Here is a 20,838-nt window from a genome sequence, read left to right on the forward strand (position 1 = left end):
TTGCCCATCTATTTTTATGTTGCTTTGGGCATTTGAAGAGGCAAACACCAAGATGGGATTAACCATGCAAGAGCTTTTGGTAGGGATATGTCTGGGAAGGGCAAAGGGAAGGAAACAAGAAGAGCAGAGATGCAATGCAAGTCTAACACTGAGAAAGGGACCAAAGAAGGGAAATAGATGGATAGGAAGAGCCCTAGACTGCAGCTCAGTTCTAAGAAACCTTTGGCCAGGCAGAGGGGAACTCCTGCAGCCACAGTCACCTGCTGCAGAAGTCCTGCCTCTGGTAGGAGCAGATCTGCACTAATGTACTGCTCTGCTCATTCAATGGCTGGGAGCAGCCCTGGGGGCATGGCCCCAGTGCCAACTAGGTAGGTGGAGGGGGTGGTTCCAGAGCATGGAAGCTGGGGCTATCACTCAACTATGCTCCCAAAGGCAGCATATCTGAGCTGTGCATTTCCCAGGGTGCTACTGCCTCATCCCACCTTATACACAACAGACTCAGTTTAACAATACCAATCCCACTGCCACCAAGATGATCCCTGAAAAGAGTTAAAATGCTCTTGTACATGCTCTCTCCATACCCCACTCCCCTGCCTTGTAAAAATATTTCCACATATTTAAGGTTGCAGAATATGGCCATCACATACATATTATTTTCCCTTTAACCCTCATTTTATGATGTCTGAATTTTTTTATTATTTATTTATTTTTTTTTAAGACAGAGTCTTGCTCTGTTGCCCAGGTTTGAGTGCAGTGGTGCGGTCTTGGCTTACTGCAACTTCCGCCTCCCAGGTTCAAGCGATTCTCCTGCCTCAGCCTTCTGAGTAGCTGGGACTACAGGCGCCTGTCACCAGGCCCGACTAATTTTTGTATTTTTAGTAGAGGCGGGGTTTCACTATGTTGGCCAGACTGGTCTCGAACTCCTGACCTCAAATGACCCACACACCTCGGCCTCCCAAAGTGCTGGGATTACAGGCGCGAGCCACCACACCAGGCCCGACATCTGAATTTTTACAAATCCTTCTGTCAGGCTAAAGTTATACACATGCTCTCCCTCTACCCTTACCATAATCAGTAGAACTTACACTGATTTCAGTGTATCTGTTCATATTTGAGAAAGGATCTGTAGTTCATAATTCTGATGGTAACAGTCCGGTTACTTTTACTGCTGTAAGTAAATGTAATAGACCTATGACCCTGAGACATTTGGCCTCACATGTGACCTCAAAGCTAGGGTTAGATGATCCAGAGTTAATCTGACAGCTCAGATGGTGGAAGCTCAACCTCTGACCATCTTCCTGTGCTAGGGTAACTCACCCTCCAAGGCCCAAAGCAGGGGTGCAATATCTATGCGAATTTTTAAGCTAAAATAGAAGACTTGGAGGAGGATATGTCGCAGATTTCCTTCCATGACCCACAGACATCAGGAGAGTGGGAGGGCCAGGGGCAGAGTGTGGTTCAACCCTTCTGCTGCATTAGAGGCACCTCAATGGAAAAGTTTGAGAAGCATTGATCTATATATGGCTCAGGTATTAGACAGAGCTTTTCAGGTTTTTAAACATAAATTTAAACAACAATAAGTGAAGATTCATAAAGAAGCCAATGCCACAGAGCAATTATTCCAGGACCCCAGGCTTTAGTCTGGGATTGTCTTACTGCCCCTTCCCTATTCATGACCCTAGAGTTTTCACAACACAAAATGGCTCTGTGAATCAGTTAAGTACACAGAGACAAATCCAGGCAAACTCAAATGCGTGAGAAGAATCCCATTAAGATTCCCAAGATGAGAACCCTCTGTAAGAAAGTGACATTGAAGTTTTTGATAATTCCCCCTCAGATGAATACATGGAAAAATTACAAAGAATTTCTTTGGCTTCTGGTATGAGAATTTCTGATTACCCTTTTCCTCTCATTTCCTTGATCTTTACCAAAACATGAATGATGCTGGCCTTGCAGATGCTGTTGATTTGGTTCGGTGTGCCAAGCAGGCTGCGGTGGAAACCACTGTGGGGAGTCTTGGTGGGCAAGGTAACGCTCTTTTGGCATAGGAGTGACAACTACCCAGACAGAGAAATCCTCGGTCAGTGCAATCATGTCCACTCCTGGTCTAAGTCCCATCTTGCTCCTTAGATTGAAGAACAAGAAGGATAAGGATAAAATAGCAAATGGGCTTCTAGCTTTGGCTCTTAGTCTCTCCTCTGGGCAATACTCTTCCCACTCAAACCAGACACCTTCCACCTGCCAAGAAAAATCTGGTGCTAAAATATAATCAGACTTGTAAAAAACAGAACATGGGGTGATTATTTTAATTACAAAATCTTTCATTTTCCAAGAAGAACATTTGCCAGTAGATTCCTTTAAATGACCAAGTCCCTTGGCATATTTAAAAGGAGGTATGAGGCCAGGTGCGGTGGCTAACGCCTGTAATCCCAGCACTTTGGGAGGCCGAGGTGGGTGGATCACCTGAGGTCAGGAGTTTGAGACCAGCCTGGCCAACATGGTGAAACCCCGTCTCTACTAAAAATACAAAAATTAGCTGGGCATGGTGGCAGGTGTCTGTAATCCCAGCTACTCGGGCGGCTGAGGCAGAAGAATCGCTTGAACCTGTGAGGCGGAGGTTGCAGTGAGCTGAGATCGCGCCATTGCACTCCAGCCTGGGGGACAAGAGCGAGACTTCATCTCAAAAAAATAATAATAATAATAAAAGGAGATATGACTGACAATGCATGACATGTGTGGAGCTTTTTTGGAAGCAGATCCCATACAGGTCATTGGGGTGGCCTTGCCATGTAAGGACAACCCTGTTTCACCATGTTGGCCAGGCTGGTCTTGAACCCTAGGTGAACCAAGGTGGTATTAAAATAGCATTTCTAGAATCAAAGTGGAGAGAAATCATCTTTGAACATCCAATGTCTGATTCAAGTGTTATGAAAACAAGGCTCTGCTCTTTAACCAATGCTTGTTTAATTCAACGTGGCCTGCAGTTACAATCTTGTGCAGGGCCTAGGAGTTTAAGCCCTGGAGGTGGACTGCCTGGATTTAAGTCTCAGTTATGCCAGTTACAAGTTCTATGACCTTGAGGAAGTTATGTAACCTTTTTGAGCCTCTGTTTTCTTACCTGGAGAATGAATTGATATGAACATTAAATGTGGTGATATAGTAAATGTGATAACATATGTAAAACTCCATCTGCTTGTCATGCACTAAGTTATTAACTATGTTAATGCCTGTTAGATGAGCAGGATGCCATCCCAAAGGCCCAGCAAATAGGAGGACAGACGTCCTCTTGTATACTGATTACAGGATCCATGCACCAGGGGAGGGCTTGCAATGCAGCTTTTCTTGTTATCTAATTGGCACTGAGAGTGCTATTCTATATTAGTTAGACTAAACTCCAAATTGATGTTTTTAGCTAACATCTCCTTAAACTTCAAATGATCAATATCGAACAACTCATCTAGAACATCAATTTCTATAGGGCACTAACACTTCCAAGTGACTCCGTGGAGATGTTTGTTAATTAAAATCAGAAAATCCTCATGTGATATATCAAGGCTTTTCTATGACTAGAGCAATTGGAAACAATTGTTAAAAATTGTTTTTAAAATGTCCTGGTTAAAATGATTTCTGCTGTAACCTATAGCAGTGGTTCTCAAAATGCGGTTCCTAGAGCAGACTCACCTGGGAACCGGTTAGAAATGCAAATTCTTAGGTCCCACCCCAGACTTATTAAAATATGGCAATCTGTGGTTTCATAAGCTCTCAGAGGTGACACTGATCCATAGCACTGATGGCATATGGATCCATGCTTCCCACTGCACACCCTCGCTCCATTCCTGAGAGATCCCATTCATGAAGCAGAGCATCTTTCCCATTGAGTCTGGATGAAATCTCAGAACCCTTTTCAACACAGTGCCAAAAGTTCCTACAAATCAATCAAAGTTTGCATGTCTGGTCAGGCTGTGGTGCTCTGAGATCTCAATGAAGCATTCATTCAACTACTTGACTTTCTCCTAGAGAAAAATTATGGCCCTACCGAAATAGGTTAGGAGACCCCCTCAAGACAACAAGAAAGCAAGTTGGATTTCTGAACTTTTATAACCAAATAACACCCCTAACATATGCACACCCAGTCACTACAGCATATGAAAATTTCCTCAACTAGCAACATAGGCACAATGTCTATAGTGCAGGCTTTTTCCAGACAGCTCAATCTCGATGTAATTGCCGTCGTCAAACCTTGTTAAACATCCAATTGTGGAGTGTGAAAGACACATGCTAACTACCTATTTATCTGCTTCTAGTTATTCGAATATGCTACCTTTTATAAAAAACTAGATCACAAAAAATTGAACTTTGTCCCCCTTGGGCTGTTCCTCTCACCAAATAAAACTATCTTTTGAAAAAAAGACTTTGAGATGGCTTTCAGTAGTACATATATGCAATAAGCCAATTAAAGAAAAAAATAGAAAATCAAAAGTTGGCAGAATTACAGAGATACACGTATACCAGGACTCTCGGGGAATGTGGTTATTGTGGTTAAACATTCTTCTTAGCTCTAAGCTATAGAGATATATGATGGGTTAAATAAAATTATCAGGGTTATGAAATGTATTTACACTCCTCTGATGAGACTTTTTTTCTGAATATAGATACCAAGAGTCATACATGCTGTTGCCATATTTGCTTTCCTGGTATTCTATAAGCCTTATGAATTTCCCCTTCTACTTACTTTATCTGAAACCTCAGTCATCAATATTCAGTGTAAATGGGCCACAGAGCACGAGATCAACCCATATTTAGACTTGTCCTATTTTATCACTGTCTGTTTGTTGCGGTGGTTCATTATTTGATGTATGGAACTTTCAAAAGTTTCTTTTTAAAAAATGAAACTTCATTTATCTTTGACCATATTGCCTAATACATTGGAATTAGCTTGCTACAAATCTTCATTGAATGAGGTTACTTCCTTAATAGCATTTCTGACAGATGGCCATTGCTGTTAGTAACAGCAGTTGACATCCTGGGAATTTAAATATTCAAACCAATTCAATAAGAATTTATTTAGTAATCTATTATGTGTCATAAATGGTGTGGCTTGAGCTTCAAGGCATGCTGGGAGGTCCCAGTTGCAAAAATAACTTAAAAGAAAGCCAGCCAGGACCACAATCCCATCCAGGCCAAAGTCCAAAACCAAGAAGTCTGATCTGGTAGAATGGGACACGATGCAGGGCTTCTGAGGAACAAACAGCACTCGTTCTTAGGGGTCAAGTCTGAGTCCAAGAACAGAGATAACTATTCCGATTGCTGGAAATTATGATTGAGAAAAAGACTGGCAGAAACTAGGTGAATTCATGGCTTCTATTCATGGCTGGACTTCAGTTCTACTGGGAATCTGGAATGGATACCAGCTGGTTGAGGCTACGGAGGAAGGCTTTAATGGGATGTGTATGTTGCTGCCCAAAGACTAATTTCCTCCTCAAGCAAATTAGACATTGAGTATAACGGCTACAGATTACTTCCATGATCCACTGTGGCATACACCATTATCTACCCTCCAGCATCCAGGACTTCTTTACTTTTCCTTGCTCTGGGCAAAAGTGTGTCCTACCACAGGCAATGGGTTATGAAAGGACTAAACTATACTGATGGCAGTCCTGTTCCCTGACTTCTTAGCCTCCCTTGCAGCAGGCGGTGCCACATGACCCAGCTGTAACCAGGGAGACAGAGGGGAACTTGGCTGGAGATGCTTTGGGGAAAGCTTTTGTTTTTCTGTTAAAAGAAACAGGACTCGCACAGCCCTTCACCCTTTCTTTATGACTTTCCTACAAACTTGTAACCAGCAAGAAAAGGCCAAGTAAATCACAGAGATGCCTGCTCTACCATCAGTGAACCACTAAACTAATGTCAGCAGCCACGTATGTCCTGACTGCTGCTACATAAAAATTGTAAGCCCATTTGTTTAAGCCATCAATAGATAAACTGTTATTCACAATGGAAAGCATTCCTAATACCTCCACTTCCTATGAAGATGGAAATCCTGACCTCCATCACCTTCAGAGACCATGTGGCAGAAGATGGGAATGGACATGACACTCTGTGCTAGGGGCTGAAGGCATGGAAATGTGGGTGGCAGAGATCCTGGCCTAAGGACCTTGTAATTTCATTTGAGAGAGCAAACTTAGGGTAGGGTCTCATCACACTCCACACGAGTTGTTTGCTCTAGCTCAGAAGACCATATTTTAAGATAAATCTTATTTGAGATAAGCCTAGGACAGTTAAGATACTGGAAAACTGTTATGGAAGAAATGGTTGAAGTAAGAGAATTCTAGCAATGAGAATGTGGTATAGAGAAGGCATTCCTACATTAGGAATGCCTTCATTACATACTTTATCCTCACTATACTAAGTGGCAGTTCAGTGGGACAGAGTCGTAGCTGGTCCCAATCTGTGTTCTAGGTGTTCTAGCCCCTGTTAGCTATCTGATCTTGACAAACCCATTAAACCTCACTACCTCTCAATTTCTTCATTATCTTTTTTTTTTTTTTTTTTTTTTTTTGAGATGGAGTTTCACTCTGTCACCCAGGCTCGAGGGCAGTGGTGCGATCTCGACTCACTGCAACCTTTGCTTCCCAGGTTCAAGCGATTCTCCCACCTTAGCCTCCCAAGAAGCTGGGACTACAGGCATGTGCCACCACATCAAATGAATTTTTGTATTTTTAGTAGAGATGGGGTTTCACCATGTTGGCCAGGCTGGTCTCAAACTCCTGACCTCAAGTGATCCTCCCGCCTCAGCTTCCCAAAGTGGGATTACAGGAGTAAGCCACCATACCTGGCCAGTTTCTTTATTCTTAAAATGGGGACAATAATAGTATTTACCATATATATATATAAAATAAATGAAATAATCCATGTAATGCATTTAACTCAATGCCTGGAACACACTAAATAATCAATAAATAATAATCAATAAATGCTATTTATATTATTTTGAGAAGTAGCTAAGTACATGGACTCTGGGGTCTGAATACCTGGGTTTAAATCTTGCATTCACTACTTACTGCCTATATAATCTTGATTAAGTCTCAGTTTTCTCATCTGTAAAGTGGGAGTAATGATAGCACTGACAGGATAGTTGTGAGAATTAATTCAAATAGTGCATGTAAAGCACTTGGCATGGTTTAATACCCAGTAAATGTTGGCTATTATTAGCTATACTGTGAGTAATATAAAAGATGTATAGGACCTACTTCTTGTTTGCAAAATGCTTATTATGTTAGTTTCTAAGAAGTAATGAGAGGCAGGTTTCAGTGGCTCACACCTGTAATTCCAACACTTTGGGAGGCTGAGATGGGAGGATTGCTTGAGCCCAGGAGTTTGAGACCAGCCTGGACAACACTGTGAGATCCCATATCTAAAAAGAAAAAAATCATGGTGGCACATGCCTATAGTCCCAGCTACTCAGGAGGTTGAGGTGGGAGGGTCACTTGAGCCCAGGAGGTAAAGGTTGCAGTGAGCTGTGATTGTGCCACTGCACTCCAGCCTGAGCAACAAAGCAAGACCCTGTCTCAAAAAGAGTAATGATAATTAAATAATGATGTATAAGCATGAGGAAATCAGGGAGGGGAATAATCACTGAGGATGGAAAGGCTAGGAATAATACCATGCAGGAAGCTGGATTTAAGGTGGGCCTTATGTGACAGGTAGAGTGGAGATACTTGAAGAAATGGAGACAGGATATGGGATTATTATATTTTTCTTCAATTTTTAGGAGACTGCTTTACACATGTCATTTATTCTTCCTTCTAGCCTCATCTTCCTGGAGTAAAGTGAATATTTTAATAATGTGATTTAGGAAAACACAACATGTGAAATAGGGTAGCCCTAATTTCTTAATTGCTCATCCAAACAAATCTAATGATATTTTAAAGATCACTTGTACAATGTGCAGTTGAGACCATGTCTATAGCAAAAAAAAATAAATAAATAAAAATGAAAAGTAAAAGAGTACAGGGACTGGTATCAAGAACTACTAGGCATATGATCCTATATATAAATTATGTTTAGCAATGATGACAACAGAGACATATGTAGCATACAGGTACTGGGTTTTTTCTGTGAAATATGGATTCTGCTTTTGGAAGGAAATCTATCAAGAGTTCTCTGAAACAAGCTGGGTACAGTGGCTCATGCCTATAATCCCAGCACTTTGGGAGGCTGATGCAGGTGGATCACCTGAGGTCAGGAGTTCGAGAACAGCTTGGCCAACATGGTGAAACCCTGTCTCTACCAAAAATACAAAAATTAGCCAGGTTTGATGGTGTGTGCCTGTAGTCCCAGCTACTTGGGAGGCTGAAGTAGGAGAATTGCTTGAACCCAGGAAGCGGAGGTTGCAGTGAGCTGAGATCACGCCATTGCACTCCAGCCTACACAACAGAATGAGACTCCATCTTAAAAAAAACAAAACAAAAACAAAAACAAAAAAAAAAAAGGGAGTTCTCTGAAATAAACAGACATTTCTATTTCTAGAATGAGGAATACTGGCTTCAAAGACTTCGGTAGAGGACTCAAGACTTTTCCTAACTTACCCATCCCAATGTTGCTAACCGTATCTCCTAACATTCTTCAAACACCCACGGACTGTGGCACTAGGCCAGTCTCCTTGAGGTCTCCCGAATGCATCCCGCTCTCTTACCGGGCTTGTTACCAGCAAGTGCCTGCCATAGAGTAGGTGCTCCAGAACCACTGGCCAGAACCACATCCATTTCTTACATGTGCTGTTTTGCCAGCCTGGAATCCTCTTCTTTGACATCTCTGTTTAGCTAAAGCTTGTGCGTGCTACATGAGGCCTTTTCCTGCCATGTGAGTCCTCACTTATCTTTCCCTTCTCTAAACCACAGCAGTTGTCATTTGCATCACTGATGGGAAAAACTATGTGGCTTCCAACTACTGGGCTCCTGCAGCCATTTCTCTAGCCCCAACCATCTCTCAAGTTTTCCTTTCTCTTTTCCAGTATGATCTAGGTTTTCCAGGCAGAGAGAGCAACATGAGCAAAGCCCAGAGACCCAAGAGAACATGAAATTCAGGGAACAGTTTGTAGGTCCGTGATCTTGATGGCCATGCCCCTAAGAAAACATGCCTAAAAAGAACCGAAACCAGTTTCTCCATAGCCAAAATCTCTTTATGATATTTTTGCTTCAAGAACACAGTAGTCTATTACAGCATGACCATATTCTCTGGAACACTTGCTGAAAATCTGAAACCTTAAACAATTGTGACGTATCAGTCTATTAAGCTAAGTGGCTTTCTACCTAACACCTCTGCTTCAGGGCTAAGCAACATCCCAGCTAGAAGCCTGCTGAACTAGAAATATTAATTTTCCTTTTCTCCCAAGAAGATGATACGTGAATGCTGTGCTCTTCCTTCATGATCCTAACATTCTGCTACAAGGGTGAGCTTTCTCTGATTTGTGATTGACAAGTTTGCCAGGGGTGATAACTGGCCTAATCACTTGCCTTATAGATGAGAACTGAAGCCATTTGGAATTTATCCCTCTATCACTAAGCTCTGACTACAGTTTCTTCTTCGCATGCACAAGAGCTATTCCTCAAAGACGTTATCTTTGCCATTTATTTTGCCCTCTAACACTTCAAGCTTCAATGCGACGTCACAATTTATTTGCATGCCAGGTGTTGTTTAGATAAACAGACATTTGAATTACGAGCAACTGGAGACTATTAGACAGTGAATTTTCTTTTTCATTTAAATTCTCTCTTTCTAAAATTTATTCTAGGTTTTGCTGACATGTTGTGTTGGAGAACTACTGAAAGGTTGTGAATAGGAACTACACAACATACTGGCTTTGCCTCTACACTATAGGAGTGTGTTAAATTTCCTCTGTATTCCCAGCGTCTTACACTGAGCCTGGTCCTTACTACATCTTCTATTAAATGTTTAGTGAATAAACTCTGTGATGGATTAAAGATGGCTACATATTCTTTACTACATAAGCAGGTGATGTAATTGGATAAACAGAATATGGCAGAAGTGATGTTGTGGCAATTTCTGGGCACTGGAAGCTTCTACTTTCTGTCCTTCAGAACACTTTCTCTGGAAGCCCTGCCATGTAAGTCTGAATACCCTGAGACTGTTTTGCTGGAGAAGTCAGTTAACAGTCCCAAGTCCCAGAAGAGTTCAGCCTTCCATACATCTGTCAAGGTGCAGAGGGATGAGTGGAGCCTGCAGACTCTTAGCAGAATACCACTTGGAACAGAACAATCACCTGGCTGGGCCCTGCCAGAATTCCCTGACCCACAAAATCTGTGATATAATAAAATTATTGTTTTTTTAGCCACTTAAGTTTTAGATTACTTCGTTATATAACCATAAATAATCAAAACAAAATCCTGAGGGGGGCTCTATGTATACTATTCAGCACCCCAGAGATCAACTCGTGTATTCATAGCTACTGTTCACCTGACTAGAGCAGGGTGGTACACACTTGAGGACAGTTGGGCTGATTCACCACAACTAGTGGCGGCCAGTAAGCGCTGTTTCTCATTTTGTGAGTTCTTGGGCAGCATAGACCAGGGAACCTGACCAACCTCAGGACACAGATTTCAAATAGGATTCTATCTAGCACTTTAGACCCAGGAGGACTGAACCCTCATAATTCTTTCCGCTGATTATTGGAAGAGTTAATCACTCGATAGAACTAACATTTCTAATAGAATGAGATTAGATGGAAATTAGATACAAGACCAAAAGACTCTTCATGGTGATGAAGGAGTGAGAACCACTAGATTAAATGAACATAAAGACAGAGGGCAGATACATTTCCTTTCTCACCCAAATGGTAGGTCCTGAGAAATACTGTTGCAAAAAAACCCAGAAATACAGATGGGATGAAGAATAAGAGAAATCTGAGCACACAGGGGAGGAGGGTCAGTGAAAATTCATTCTGCGTGTACTTGAAATTTCTGATTCAAGGGACCAGAACACATGTTATTAGCATTTTCAATTTTTCTGAAAATTGAAGAGAACAAAAACTGAAGAGAATAACTCAGAAATAAAATGATGACAAGATAATTGTTTAATATGAAAATCCTTGGGTGGAGTACTAAGAGACTTCCATTTCAGTCTCAACACCTAGCAATTGATTGGACTTATTCTTAACTCAGTTTTCTTGTTGTAAAATGACACCACTCCGCTTTCTTCATGGAAATTATGTGGGTTGGATTGCAGGAGAGAAGATAAAAAGTGGCTTAGAAGGAAAAAGAAAGAATATGCAATTAGTAAATAGTACCAGTTCTTGAGAAGTTTGGAATAGAAACATTTTCCTCTTCAAACACATAACCTCTTTTTTTAGATTAAAGTAAACAAATCACTCTTTTACTATTACACAAATGCTGATTATTAAGTTTATATAAAAATTAACTATAATTAGATATGAAAGACAAGTAAATGAATCAGCAAGACATGAACAGCAACACTGTCTGAGAAGAATTCACCATCTAGACTGATTCTGTTGCATCTTGGGCTGGGTGTAATCCTGTAAAAACACACAGATGTGAGATGAAGGCCAAATCAGCTGGTAATCAAGTGGCACCTCTGGGGGCTGAGAGTACAAAGGAGTCCCTGGAAGAGGCACTGGCAAATTGGTGGCCTTGGTGGCAATGGCTGATGGCAGCTCTCTTGGGCCATCAGGGGGGACTTCATAGTCTGGTAGTTAGTTGTTTTACCCAGCAAACACATACCCCAAAAGAGAAGCCATTTCTTTTGTCTAATTAACAGGTAGTGCCAATGGAGATACCAGTGTTTCTCAAGCTGTACTCTGCAGACCCCCTGCCCCTAGAGGGCTTATTAAGGTTCAATCCTTGGACCCACCCCAGATCAACGAAATCAGAACCTCTGCACCAGGGGTGAGGAATCTATATTTTAATAGGTACCCCGGGTGCTTTCATTGAAAATCTCATAGTTTAAGGACTGCTGCACTCTCTTGCACAATGTGACTGTCCACAAATACGCCATGTTCACCCCATTTTCAGTTCCTTTGCTTTTTCTCCCTCCAGGAACACTCCTCCCTTCTCTACTTTCTTCACCCCATGGGCTAAGATCCACTGGCTTCCTGGGGCTGTCCCCAACTTCTTGATCTCTTTTTCATGAACAGTAATTATGCTCCTTAATCCTGTCTTATCCTACTTTGTAACCTCTTTCAGGGGTATAGTAAATCCCCCTTCATTCCATTAATTTCATTAATTCCTGCCCAGGGCAGAAAGATCCTGCTTTAAATGGTTTCCTTCTCTGAGAAGACCTGTCTTCTAGCCACTTTTTTATTTCTAAATAAATGCTTTTGCTTCCTGTATTTCAATACAATAGAAGGAGTGGGTCTTAGAGCTCCATAAGAGCAGAAAGTCCTGAGGAGCAGATGTCTTCCAGAGAAAATGGGAAAAGTTCTCACTCCACCCCCACCACTGCACTGTTGAGCTTCACTGATTGGATCTCAAGAGATACAAGATTTTTTTCTATCACTATTGATTGTTTTGGTTTTTCCCTACATTAACCCCCTCAGCATCAAAATAAATTTAAACTGAAGACAATGTTTGTGCCTTTTCCCCAACTATATTATAATCTTAAGGGCTGAAACCTAGTCTTAATGCTTCTTATATAATTCCTCCACCCTAGACATTTATTATTGTCTGCCCGCCCTCTTCCCTGGGAACTGCCACCCCCTCAGTCTTGTCATGATTCCTCCATGACATTTTATGCAATGTGCCTCCAGGCTCCTGGTCACAGCTGATTGGTCTAGAGGTGGGCACCTGATTTAAAGCTGTGTCAGTCAGTTCCTTTTCTCCCCAGGTATTTTGAAAACTGGGGAGATGTTTGAATTCAGATTGAGCCCAGGAGATATTTTCCCTATGTGGACCAGAAAAATGGAGGAAACTATTCTTTAGAAAGAGAGAAGAATGCTGTACGTAGAGGCAGATGCAGAGAGAGGAGCACATGAGTGATGGAGGGGGTTTAGATGGGACGTATTTCTACCACTGGGTATCTTTTGGAACTCACAGTTTTCAGAATAAAGCCCCCATTTTATGTTAAGCTAGTTCTGGAGACTTCAGGGAAGACTCAAAGGGCAAGGGAAAAGGGAGTTGTGGATAGCCTCTAGATAGCCAGTCCACAGGATCTAAGGAAACACGTATGATCTCACGTAATCCTCAAAATAATCATGTGTTTTTACGAAGCAATCATTATTATTCCCACTTGAAAAATAAGAAACGAAGGCTTAGAGGAGTTAAGTAACTTTTCCTAAAACCACTCTGTTACTAAGCTGGAGGTGGGCGTGGGACTTGAGGCCAGCTCCATCTGACTGCACCATGCTGAACTGTCCTCAAGTGAAGGCCAATGGGTGTGATGCTGAGGGCTCTATTCATTCTTATTTTATATATATTTTGAGACAGAATCTCACTCTGTCACCCAGGCTGGAGTGCAGTGGAACAATCTTGGTCATTGCAACCTCCAACCCCTGTGTTCAAACAATTCTCTTGTCTCAGTGTCCTGAGTTGCTGGGATTACAGGTGTGTGCCACCACCCTTGGCTAATTTTTGTATTTTTAGTGGAGACGGGGTTTCACCATGTTACCTAGGCTGGTCTCGAACTCCTGGCCTCAAGATACCCACCTGCCTCAGCCTCCCGAAGTGCTGGGATTACAGGTGTGAGCCACCATGCCTAGCCTATTCATTCTTGCTCCTATACTCTCATGCCAAGCTAGGGTAATTTGAAAAAATTCTACAAGCCAATCCTGAGTCCTGGTATTGATCCCAACTCCATGTGCTTGGCAGAGACTGTGATTTGTGCTGCCCTCTATAGGAAGTATGGAATGAGTAAAAGAACTGCCCAGAAGCTCAGAGACCTAGAAGCTGGCTGTTCTAAGAGGTTCTAAGAGGAAGCAGCTAGGAGCAGCAGTCCTGAAAATTCCACTGCCAACAAGAACAGCAGGTATGGGCTGGCCATGCCAGAAGCAATGATCAAGATCCACTCTAGCAGCGCCAGTCACAGCCAGTACCAGATAACAGGAGGTGTCTGTGAAAATTGCTCAGAAGTCTTTATCCCTCTCCATCCTACGAGTGAGTTATGGTCACCCTTGATATTTCAGATGGGGTTGTAGAACGGGGTGTGTTAGGGACAGAAGAGGGGAGAAGAAGGTAGAGATCATCCTAAGAAGAGTAAAACAAACGGGAAGGGAGAGAGGTTCAGCAACTCTGAGCAAAAGTCTAGACCTCAGATTCTTGACCAAGAGCAAACAGACCCCTCAAAGATTCCTGACCAGAAGCAAAATGACTCTTGAAAGAGGATAACACATCAACACACAAACTTTTAGTCTGGAGGGATGGCCTCTTAGCCTTCTCCTTTTGTATTTAAAGAAAGAGAAGTCCAATTAGCCAGGTGGGTGGTGCGCACCTGTAATCCCAGCTACTTGTGAAGTTGAGGCTGGAGAATTCACTTGAAACCGGGAGGCGGAGGCTGAAGTAAGCTGAGATCGCGCCACTGCACTCCAGCCTGGGCAACAGAGTGAGACTAGTCTAAAAAAAAAAGAAAGAAAGAGAAGTGAGAAGTCTAGAAAATTAAATAATTTATATGACTCAGCTAAGTAAAGATAGAGTCTGAATTAGAGCACAGAATTGAATTCAAGCCGGGCTTGAAGTCTAGTAGATTTTCCTCTACAACACTTGGTGCTATTTTCTTTGTGTAGCTATAGGATAAGTAAAAAATTACATGGAGTGGCCTTGGCCATTTCTCATACTTGCATAGATATACTCATCACTTTTCCCCACGTGAAAAGAACAAATAAAATTCCTTTAAAAGGCTTTTAAAAACTTCATCTCTGGAAAGGTATTTGTATAAATCTAGGATGAGTGCTGAGCTGCTGAAGGTCCTAAATATCTCTGAACTATCAGCATATTCATGCTTGTCCTCTTCTCCCTTAAATAAAGGCTGTGATGACTTTAATATTCCAGTCGTTCTCCTTGGCATGCCCGCAAACAAAAACCCTCATTACACATGTTTCTTGTACTCAAGAACATGCAAAGCGTGATTTCTCCTGCGGAATCTCACTGCGCACTCCTTGGATGCCACAAGGCAGCTGTAGCTCACGCGCCCCTGCAGCTCCTGGGTTCGTGTGAATGTCGCCTCCACTCTGGCTGGCAATGGAACAAGCCAGATGGTCTTGGGAGGCCTCAGCCCACCGCTTCCAAGTCATGAGCAAGCCTCTTTTCATTTCTAGGGATTTTAAAAAGACAAGAGAGTAGAGAGAGGACTTTTAAAATTCACCTTCCTTCCTTGACACCTTCTCTACTGTGAAATCTGATGAAAGGAATAAAGGGGAAAGGGCTGTTTGGAAGGGAACTTCCGGCTCCTAAGAGAATATTGAAGTTATTTTAAATGGTTCAAAGGGCTCCCTAAAAGGAAATATTAATAGTAGGATGAATAAAAAATCTTGAAATGGTTCAGATACAATTAAAAAATATATATATATATGTAACTGAGGTGGTTGCAGTGGCTCATGCCTGTAATCCCAGCACTTTGGGAGGCCGAGGTGAGTGGATCACCTGAGGTCAGGAGTTCGAGACCAGCCTGGCAAACATGGTGAGACCTGTCTCTATTAAAAATACAAAAATTAGCCAGGCATGGTGGTATGCACCTGTAATCCCAGTTACTTGGGAGGCTGAGGAAGGAGAATTGCTTGAACCCGGGAGCTGAGATTGAGCCACTGCACTCCAGCCTGGGTGATAGAGCAAACTCTGTCTCAAAAAAAAAAAAAAATATATATATATATATAAATATTATAACTGTAATAGCTTGTGTTGATGTCTATAGTATAGAGGAAAAGGTCAAAAGTATTGGTGGGCCAGAACTTTTCATCCTTTTTGGGATTTTTATTTCATTTTATTTTATCCATGTTTATAAGAAAATTGCCTGAAAACCCAGGAAAGGCATGAGTAGCTCAATGGAAAATGTTTCAGAAGAAAATGCCTATGACAAGGAAAGAAAGTTTGTGAGGGTGCATTTTAATTAAAATGTTATCTAGGCAGGCGCGGTGGCTCACGCCTGTAATCCTAGCACTTTGGGAGGCTGAGGCGGGCAGATCACTTGAGGTCAGGAGTTCGAGACCAGCCTGACCAACATGGAGAAACCCCATCTCTACTAAAAATGCAAAAACAAACAAACAAACAAACAAACAAAAAAATTAGCCAGGCATGGTGACAGGCGTCTGTAATCCAAGCTACTTTGGAGGCTGACGCAGAAGAATCACTTGAATCCAGGAGGCGGAGGTTGCAGTGAGCTGAGTTTGTACTACTGCAATCCAGCCTGGGCAACAAGAGTGAAACTCCTTCTCAAAAAAAAAAAAAAAATTATCTAAATGCATCACATTAGCAATTATAAGCTACTGCTTGCCAAATTTATGTTTGCAGTTCTAATCTCTTCTCCAACCCATGGATTTCTAAATCTCATGCTTCTAATATTCTGTGCATCATAAACGCAAATTTGAATGTTTCCACCCTTGCTGAAAATCCTTCAATGGCTCCCTATTGCCTACAGAATAAAGCCCAAGTCCTGAATATATCACACAAGGCCCTTGTGACTTGTCCTCATTCTCTCTAGCTGACATTGGTGCATAAGACCTGGATTGCCTCTACCCTATACCCCTATAACTTCACGGCTCAGAAGGCTCACAAAGGCTTCCTAATATCAAGGTGCTTTCTGAGCCAGAAAGCCAGGTAAGGGATTTTCCACTCCATCAGAATGGGAGCCCTGATTCTGCTTTGCTGTTAAACTTCATTCTTTCATTGCACATTTATGGAGTGCCTATTTTTGTCAGGAACTGTATTAAATTATAGGGATTTAAGAGCAAACAAGACACACATTATGACTACAAAGAGCTTACATACCTGATTAAACACTATTAGTCTCCTATTACTGCTATAACAAATTATCATGAAATTTGTAGCTTAAAACACCACCATTTTATTACCTTACATTTCTGGAGGTCAGAAGTCTGAAATGAGTTTCACTTGGATAAAATCAACATAGTGGCAGGGCTGCATTCCTTATGAAATCTATAGGGGATTTCATAATCTGTTTCTCTTGCCTTTCCAGCTTCTAGAGGTTGTCTACATGCCTTGGCTTATGGTCTCTTCCTCCACTGTCAAAGCCAGTAATGTAGCATCTTCAGATCTCTCTCTGACTCTGTTTCTGTGGTCACATCTCCATGTCTAACTCTGACCCTCCTACTTCCCTCTTATGAAAACCTTGTGGTTACATTGAGTCCACTTAGATAATCCAGGATAATCTCCCTATCTCAAGATCCTTAACTTAATCATATCTTTATAAAATCTCTTTTGCCACATAAGGTAACATATTCACAGGTTTTGGTGATTAGGATGTGGACATCTTGGAGGGTAAGGGTGTTCTCTTTACCACACTCTGCTAGCAGTTTTATTTTGTCTGAATGAGCACTATTGGCTTATATGAAAAACATGTGTTGAGTGCCTACTATGTGCCAGGCACTGTTCTAGGTGCTAGGAACACAGCAGTGAATAAAGCAGACATAGAGTTCCTGCCCTCAGGGATCTTACCTTCTAGATGAAAGACAGACAATAAACCAACAAACAATTAGATAATATGTCAGGGAGTGATAGACTTCAGAGAGCAATAGAACTGTGTGGGGAGTATGAGATTGGGGTGATTGCTATTTTGTAAGGGGTGACTGTAGCAATCAAGGTGTAGTTAGGAGAATGGAAGCTGTTCTTGATCATTCAAAAAGAGGGAATTTTTATTTTTATTTTTTTTTTGCGACAGGGTCTCTGTCACCCAGGCTGGAATGCAGTGGTGCAGTCTTGGCTCACTGCAGCCTCCACCTCCTGGGCGCAAACGATCCTCCCACCTCAGCCTCCAGCTAATGTTTTTGTATTTTTAGTAGAGACGGAGTTTGGCCACGTTGCCCAGGCTGGTCTCAAACTCCTGGCTTCAAGTGATCCGCCCTCCTCAGCCTCCTGAAGTGCTGGAATTACTGGCATGAGCCATCGTGCCTGGCCAAAATGAGAGAATTTTTATACAGGGGAACTACATGGTGGATGGAAGAACTGATAAATTAACCAGGGTGATGAGGGAACCCAGAGTTTTCTTTTTTTTGTTTTTTTTTTTTGAGATTTATTCTTGTTGCCCAGGCTGGAGGGCAATGGCTCAATCTCAGCTCATCGCAACCTCTGCCTCCTGGGTTCAAGCGATTCTCCTGCCTTAGCCTCCCCAGTAGCTGGGATCACAGGCATGCACCACCACGCCTGGCTAATTTTGTATTTTTAGTAGAGATTGGGTTTCTCCACGTTGGTCTAGCTGGTGTCCGACTCCCGACCTTAGGTGATCTGCTCGCCTCGGCCTCCCAAAGTGCTGGGATTACAGGCGTGGGCCACCGTGTCCAGCTGGAAACCCACAGATTCTTAACACTAGGAAGCTACTATCACCCTCCAGCTGAAATTATATCAGAGCCTGGGGATGGTTCTCACCCAGTGGAACCTGGGGCCATGCAGGAGATGCACTTGCTACTAAAACTCTGCCTGAAGCGGACAGAGAGAGGAGCGGAATGGCTTTCACTTGTCTATTCCATCTGTCCAAATTCCTGTTATGCATCCTGATGGCTGAACCCAGCTGGAAGCCCCTGACAAGGCATCCTTGAAAACATGGCCCATGGGGTTCAGCCCTACTGCAAGGTAGAGCAGGACAAGAGAGGGCACCCAAGAGCAAGCAGGCAGATTACCAACAGTTACCTCTGTACAGACATCTAAACAGACCCAGAAAGTGCATCATGCAGATATTTGGGGAAAAAGCTCTCCAGGCAGAGGAAAGAGCAAATGCAAGGCCTGGAGGCAGTAGAGCACCAAGTATAGTCAATGAATAGCAGGAATGCCAGTGTGGCTGGGGTAGAAAGAGGGAGGGGAGAGAGGGAGGGATTGGGAGTCAAAGAATATACAGTTCCTGGGCCAGAATATGAACTGGGGCTTTTTCTCCGAGTGAGGTGAGAGGTCCTGGAAACTTTGTTAGCAGAGAAGTGACAAGATTAGACTTACTCATGCTCCACACTTTGGATCCTGTGTGTAGAACAAATTATTGGAGGGGAAATGCAGGAGTAGGGAAACCAACTAGGAGACCAGTAGAGAGACAATTGTGATAATCCAGGTGAGAAATGGCTTGAATCAGAGAGGTGGAGCTGCAGTGGGTGGAAGTGGTTGGATTCTACACATATTTTGAAGAAAGGACCATCAGAATTTGTTGATGGTTTGGATGAGAGAGAAATAGAGGAGTCAAGGATGATTCCAAGACTTTGGCTCTGAACAAAACCTCTGAACCTCTGGGAAGATATCCTTAACAGAGTTGGGGAAGACTGCTGGAGGGAAGTGTTTGTTTTTTTTTTTTTTGACAGAGTCTTGCTGTGTCGCCAGGCTGGAGTGCAGTGGCGTGATCTCGGCTCACTGCAACCTCTGTCTCCCAGGTTCAAGTGATTTTCCTGCCTCAGCCTTCTGAGTAGCTGCGACTACAGGCACGCGCCACCATGCCTAGCTAATTTTTGTATTTTTAGTAAAGATGGGGTTTCACCATGTTGGCCAGGATGGACTCGATCTCTTGACCTCATGATCCACCTACCTCAGCCTCCCAGAGGGAACCGGTTTTGAGAGGGATATCTGGAGTTCAGGAGGGCACTGGTTTTTGGGGGAATATTTGGAGCTCATCAGTTTTAAACATGTGAAATTTGAAATACCTAGTACATAATCAATTGCAGATGTTGAGTAGCAGATGGATGTACAAATCTGGAGATGGGGGAGATGACTAGCCTGGAGGTGTAAGTTTGGGAGTATTTAATGTATAGATGGTATTTAAAACTATCAGACTGGTGAGCTCACCACAGAGTGAAAAGAGACCATAAAGAGATGTCCAAAGTCTGAGTCCTGGAGCCTCCTATGTTGAGAGGTTCAAGACTAAAAAGACCAGAAAGGTAGGATAAGAACTAGGATAGACTCTTGGCTCAGAAGCCAAGGGAAGAAAACATTTCAAGAACCAGCATGGTTGACCTCTTCCCTGCTGCTGAGGGCTCCAGCCAGGTGAGCTTGGAAGTTGAGCACCAGATTTAGCAATAAGGCAGTCACTGATGCCCCTGAGAAGACCTGTTGCTGTGGAGTAGTGGGGGTGAAAGGCTGCTCAGAGTGGATTCATGGGAAGGGAAGGATAGGAATTGAAGACACCAAGCATGGAAGAGCCTTTTGAAGATTCCAGTTATAAAGTGAAGCAGGGGGAGACATAAAATTTAGGAAGCATTTTAGTTTTTACCACGGCAGATATTCCAGTATGCTTGTAAGCCCTTAGAAGTGAAGCAGTAGAGAAGGAAAATTTGCTGATTCAAGAGAGAGTGGGGACAGTTGCTGAATCAATGTCCCTGAGTTAGAGGTGATGGCACTAATGCACAGACCGAGGCTAATCTTGGCTAAGAGCACCAAGAGTTCATAAATGACAGGAAGGACAGAGGAGTATATGCAGACAGATGCAGGCAGGTTGGTAGACAAGAGTGATAGAGAGGGTATGTGTGTTCAGTTCTCTTCTGATTATTTCTATTTTACCAACAAAAGAGGGAGCAAGGCCATTAGCTAGAAGTACTAGGCAGAGGTTTGATTAAGGAGGAGAAGATGTGAAACAGTCCTTTAAAGAGGAGGGAAGAGCACAGGGAAGTATAGTAGTTTTGCTGTTAATTGATTAACAGAACGTTATAATTATTTATAACAACGTTATAAAGTA

At 42.5% G+C, this 20,838-nt stretch overlaps 1 long non-coding RNA gene across 10 annotated transcripts in view, besides 1 other annotated feature; it reads right to left on the minus strand.

Moving 5' to 3' along the window:
- Positions 1-20,838, minus strand: part of SIPA1L1-AS1 (SIPA1L1 antisense RNA 1) — a 29,125-nt gene that overhangs the window by 3,377 nt on the left and 4,910 nt on the right. For 4 of the 10 annotated variants that reach the window (NR_184175.1, NR_184177.1, NR_184178.1 and 1 more), the window contains exon 2: positions 14,458-14,579. The exons of 4 other annotated variants lie outside the window; for them this stretch is intronic. This is a non-coding gene — a long non-coding RNA (SIPA1L1 antisense RNA 1). Of the gene's footprint in view, positions 1-11,069; positions 11,264-14,457; positions 14,580-20,838 lie in introns of those variants that run through there. 2 more of the 10 variants (NR_184181.1, NR_184182.1) reach the window with 1 other exon arrangement.
- Positions 171-300: a silencer, noted in NCBI's record as "silent region_5896". NCBI's record gives its function as "represses an Ori minimal core promoter by ATAC-STARR-seq in GM12878 lymphoblastoid cells {active_cell/tissue: GM12878}" and the evidence as "EXISTENCE:reporter gene assay evidence [ECO:0000049][PMID:35858748]".

This window comes from Homo sapiens, chromosome 14 (assembly GCF_000001405.40).
Source record: "Homo sapiens chromosome 14, GRCh38.p14 Primary Assembly".
Lineage (NCBI taxonomy): Eukaryota > Metazoa > Chordata > Mammalia > Primates > Hominidae > Homo > Homo sapiens.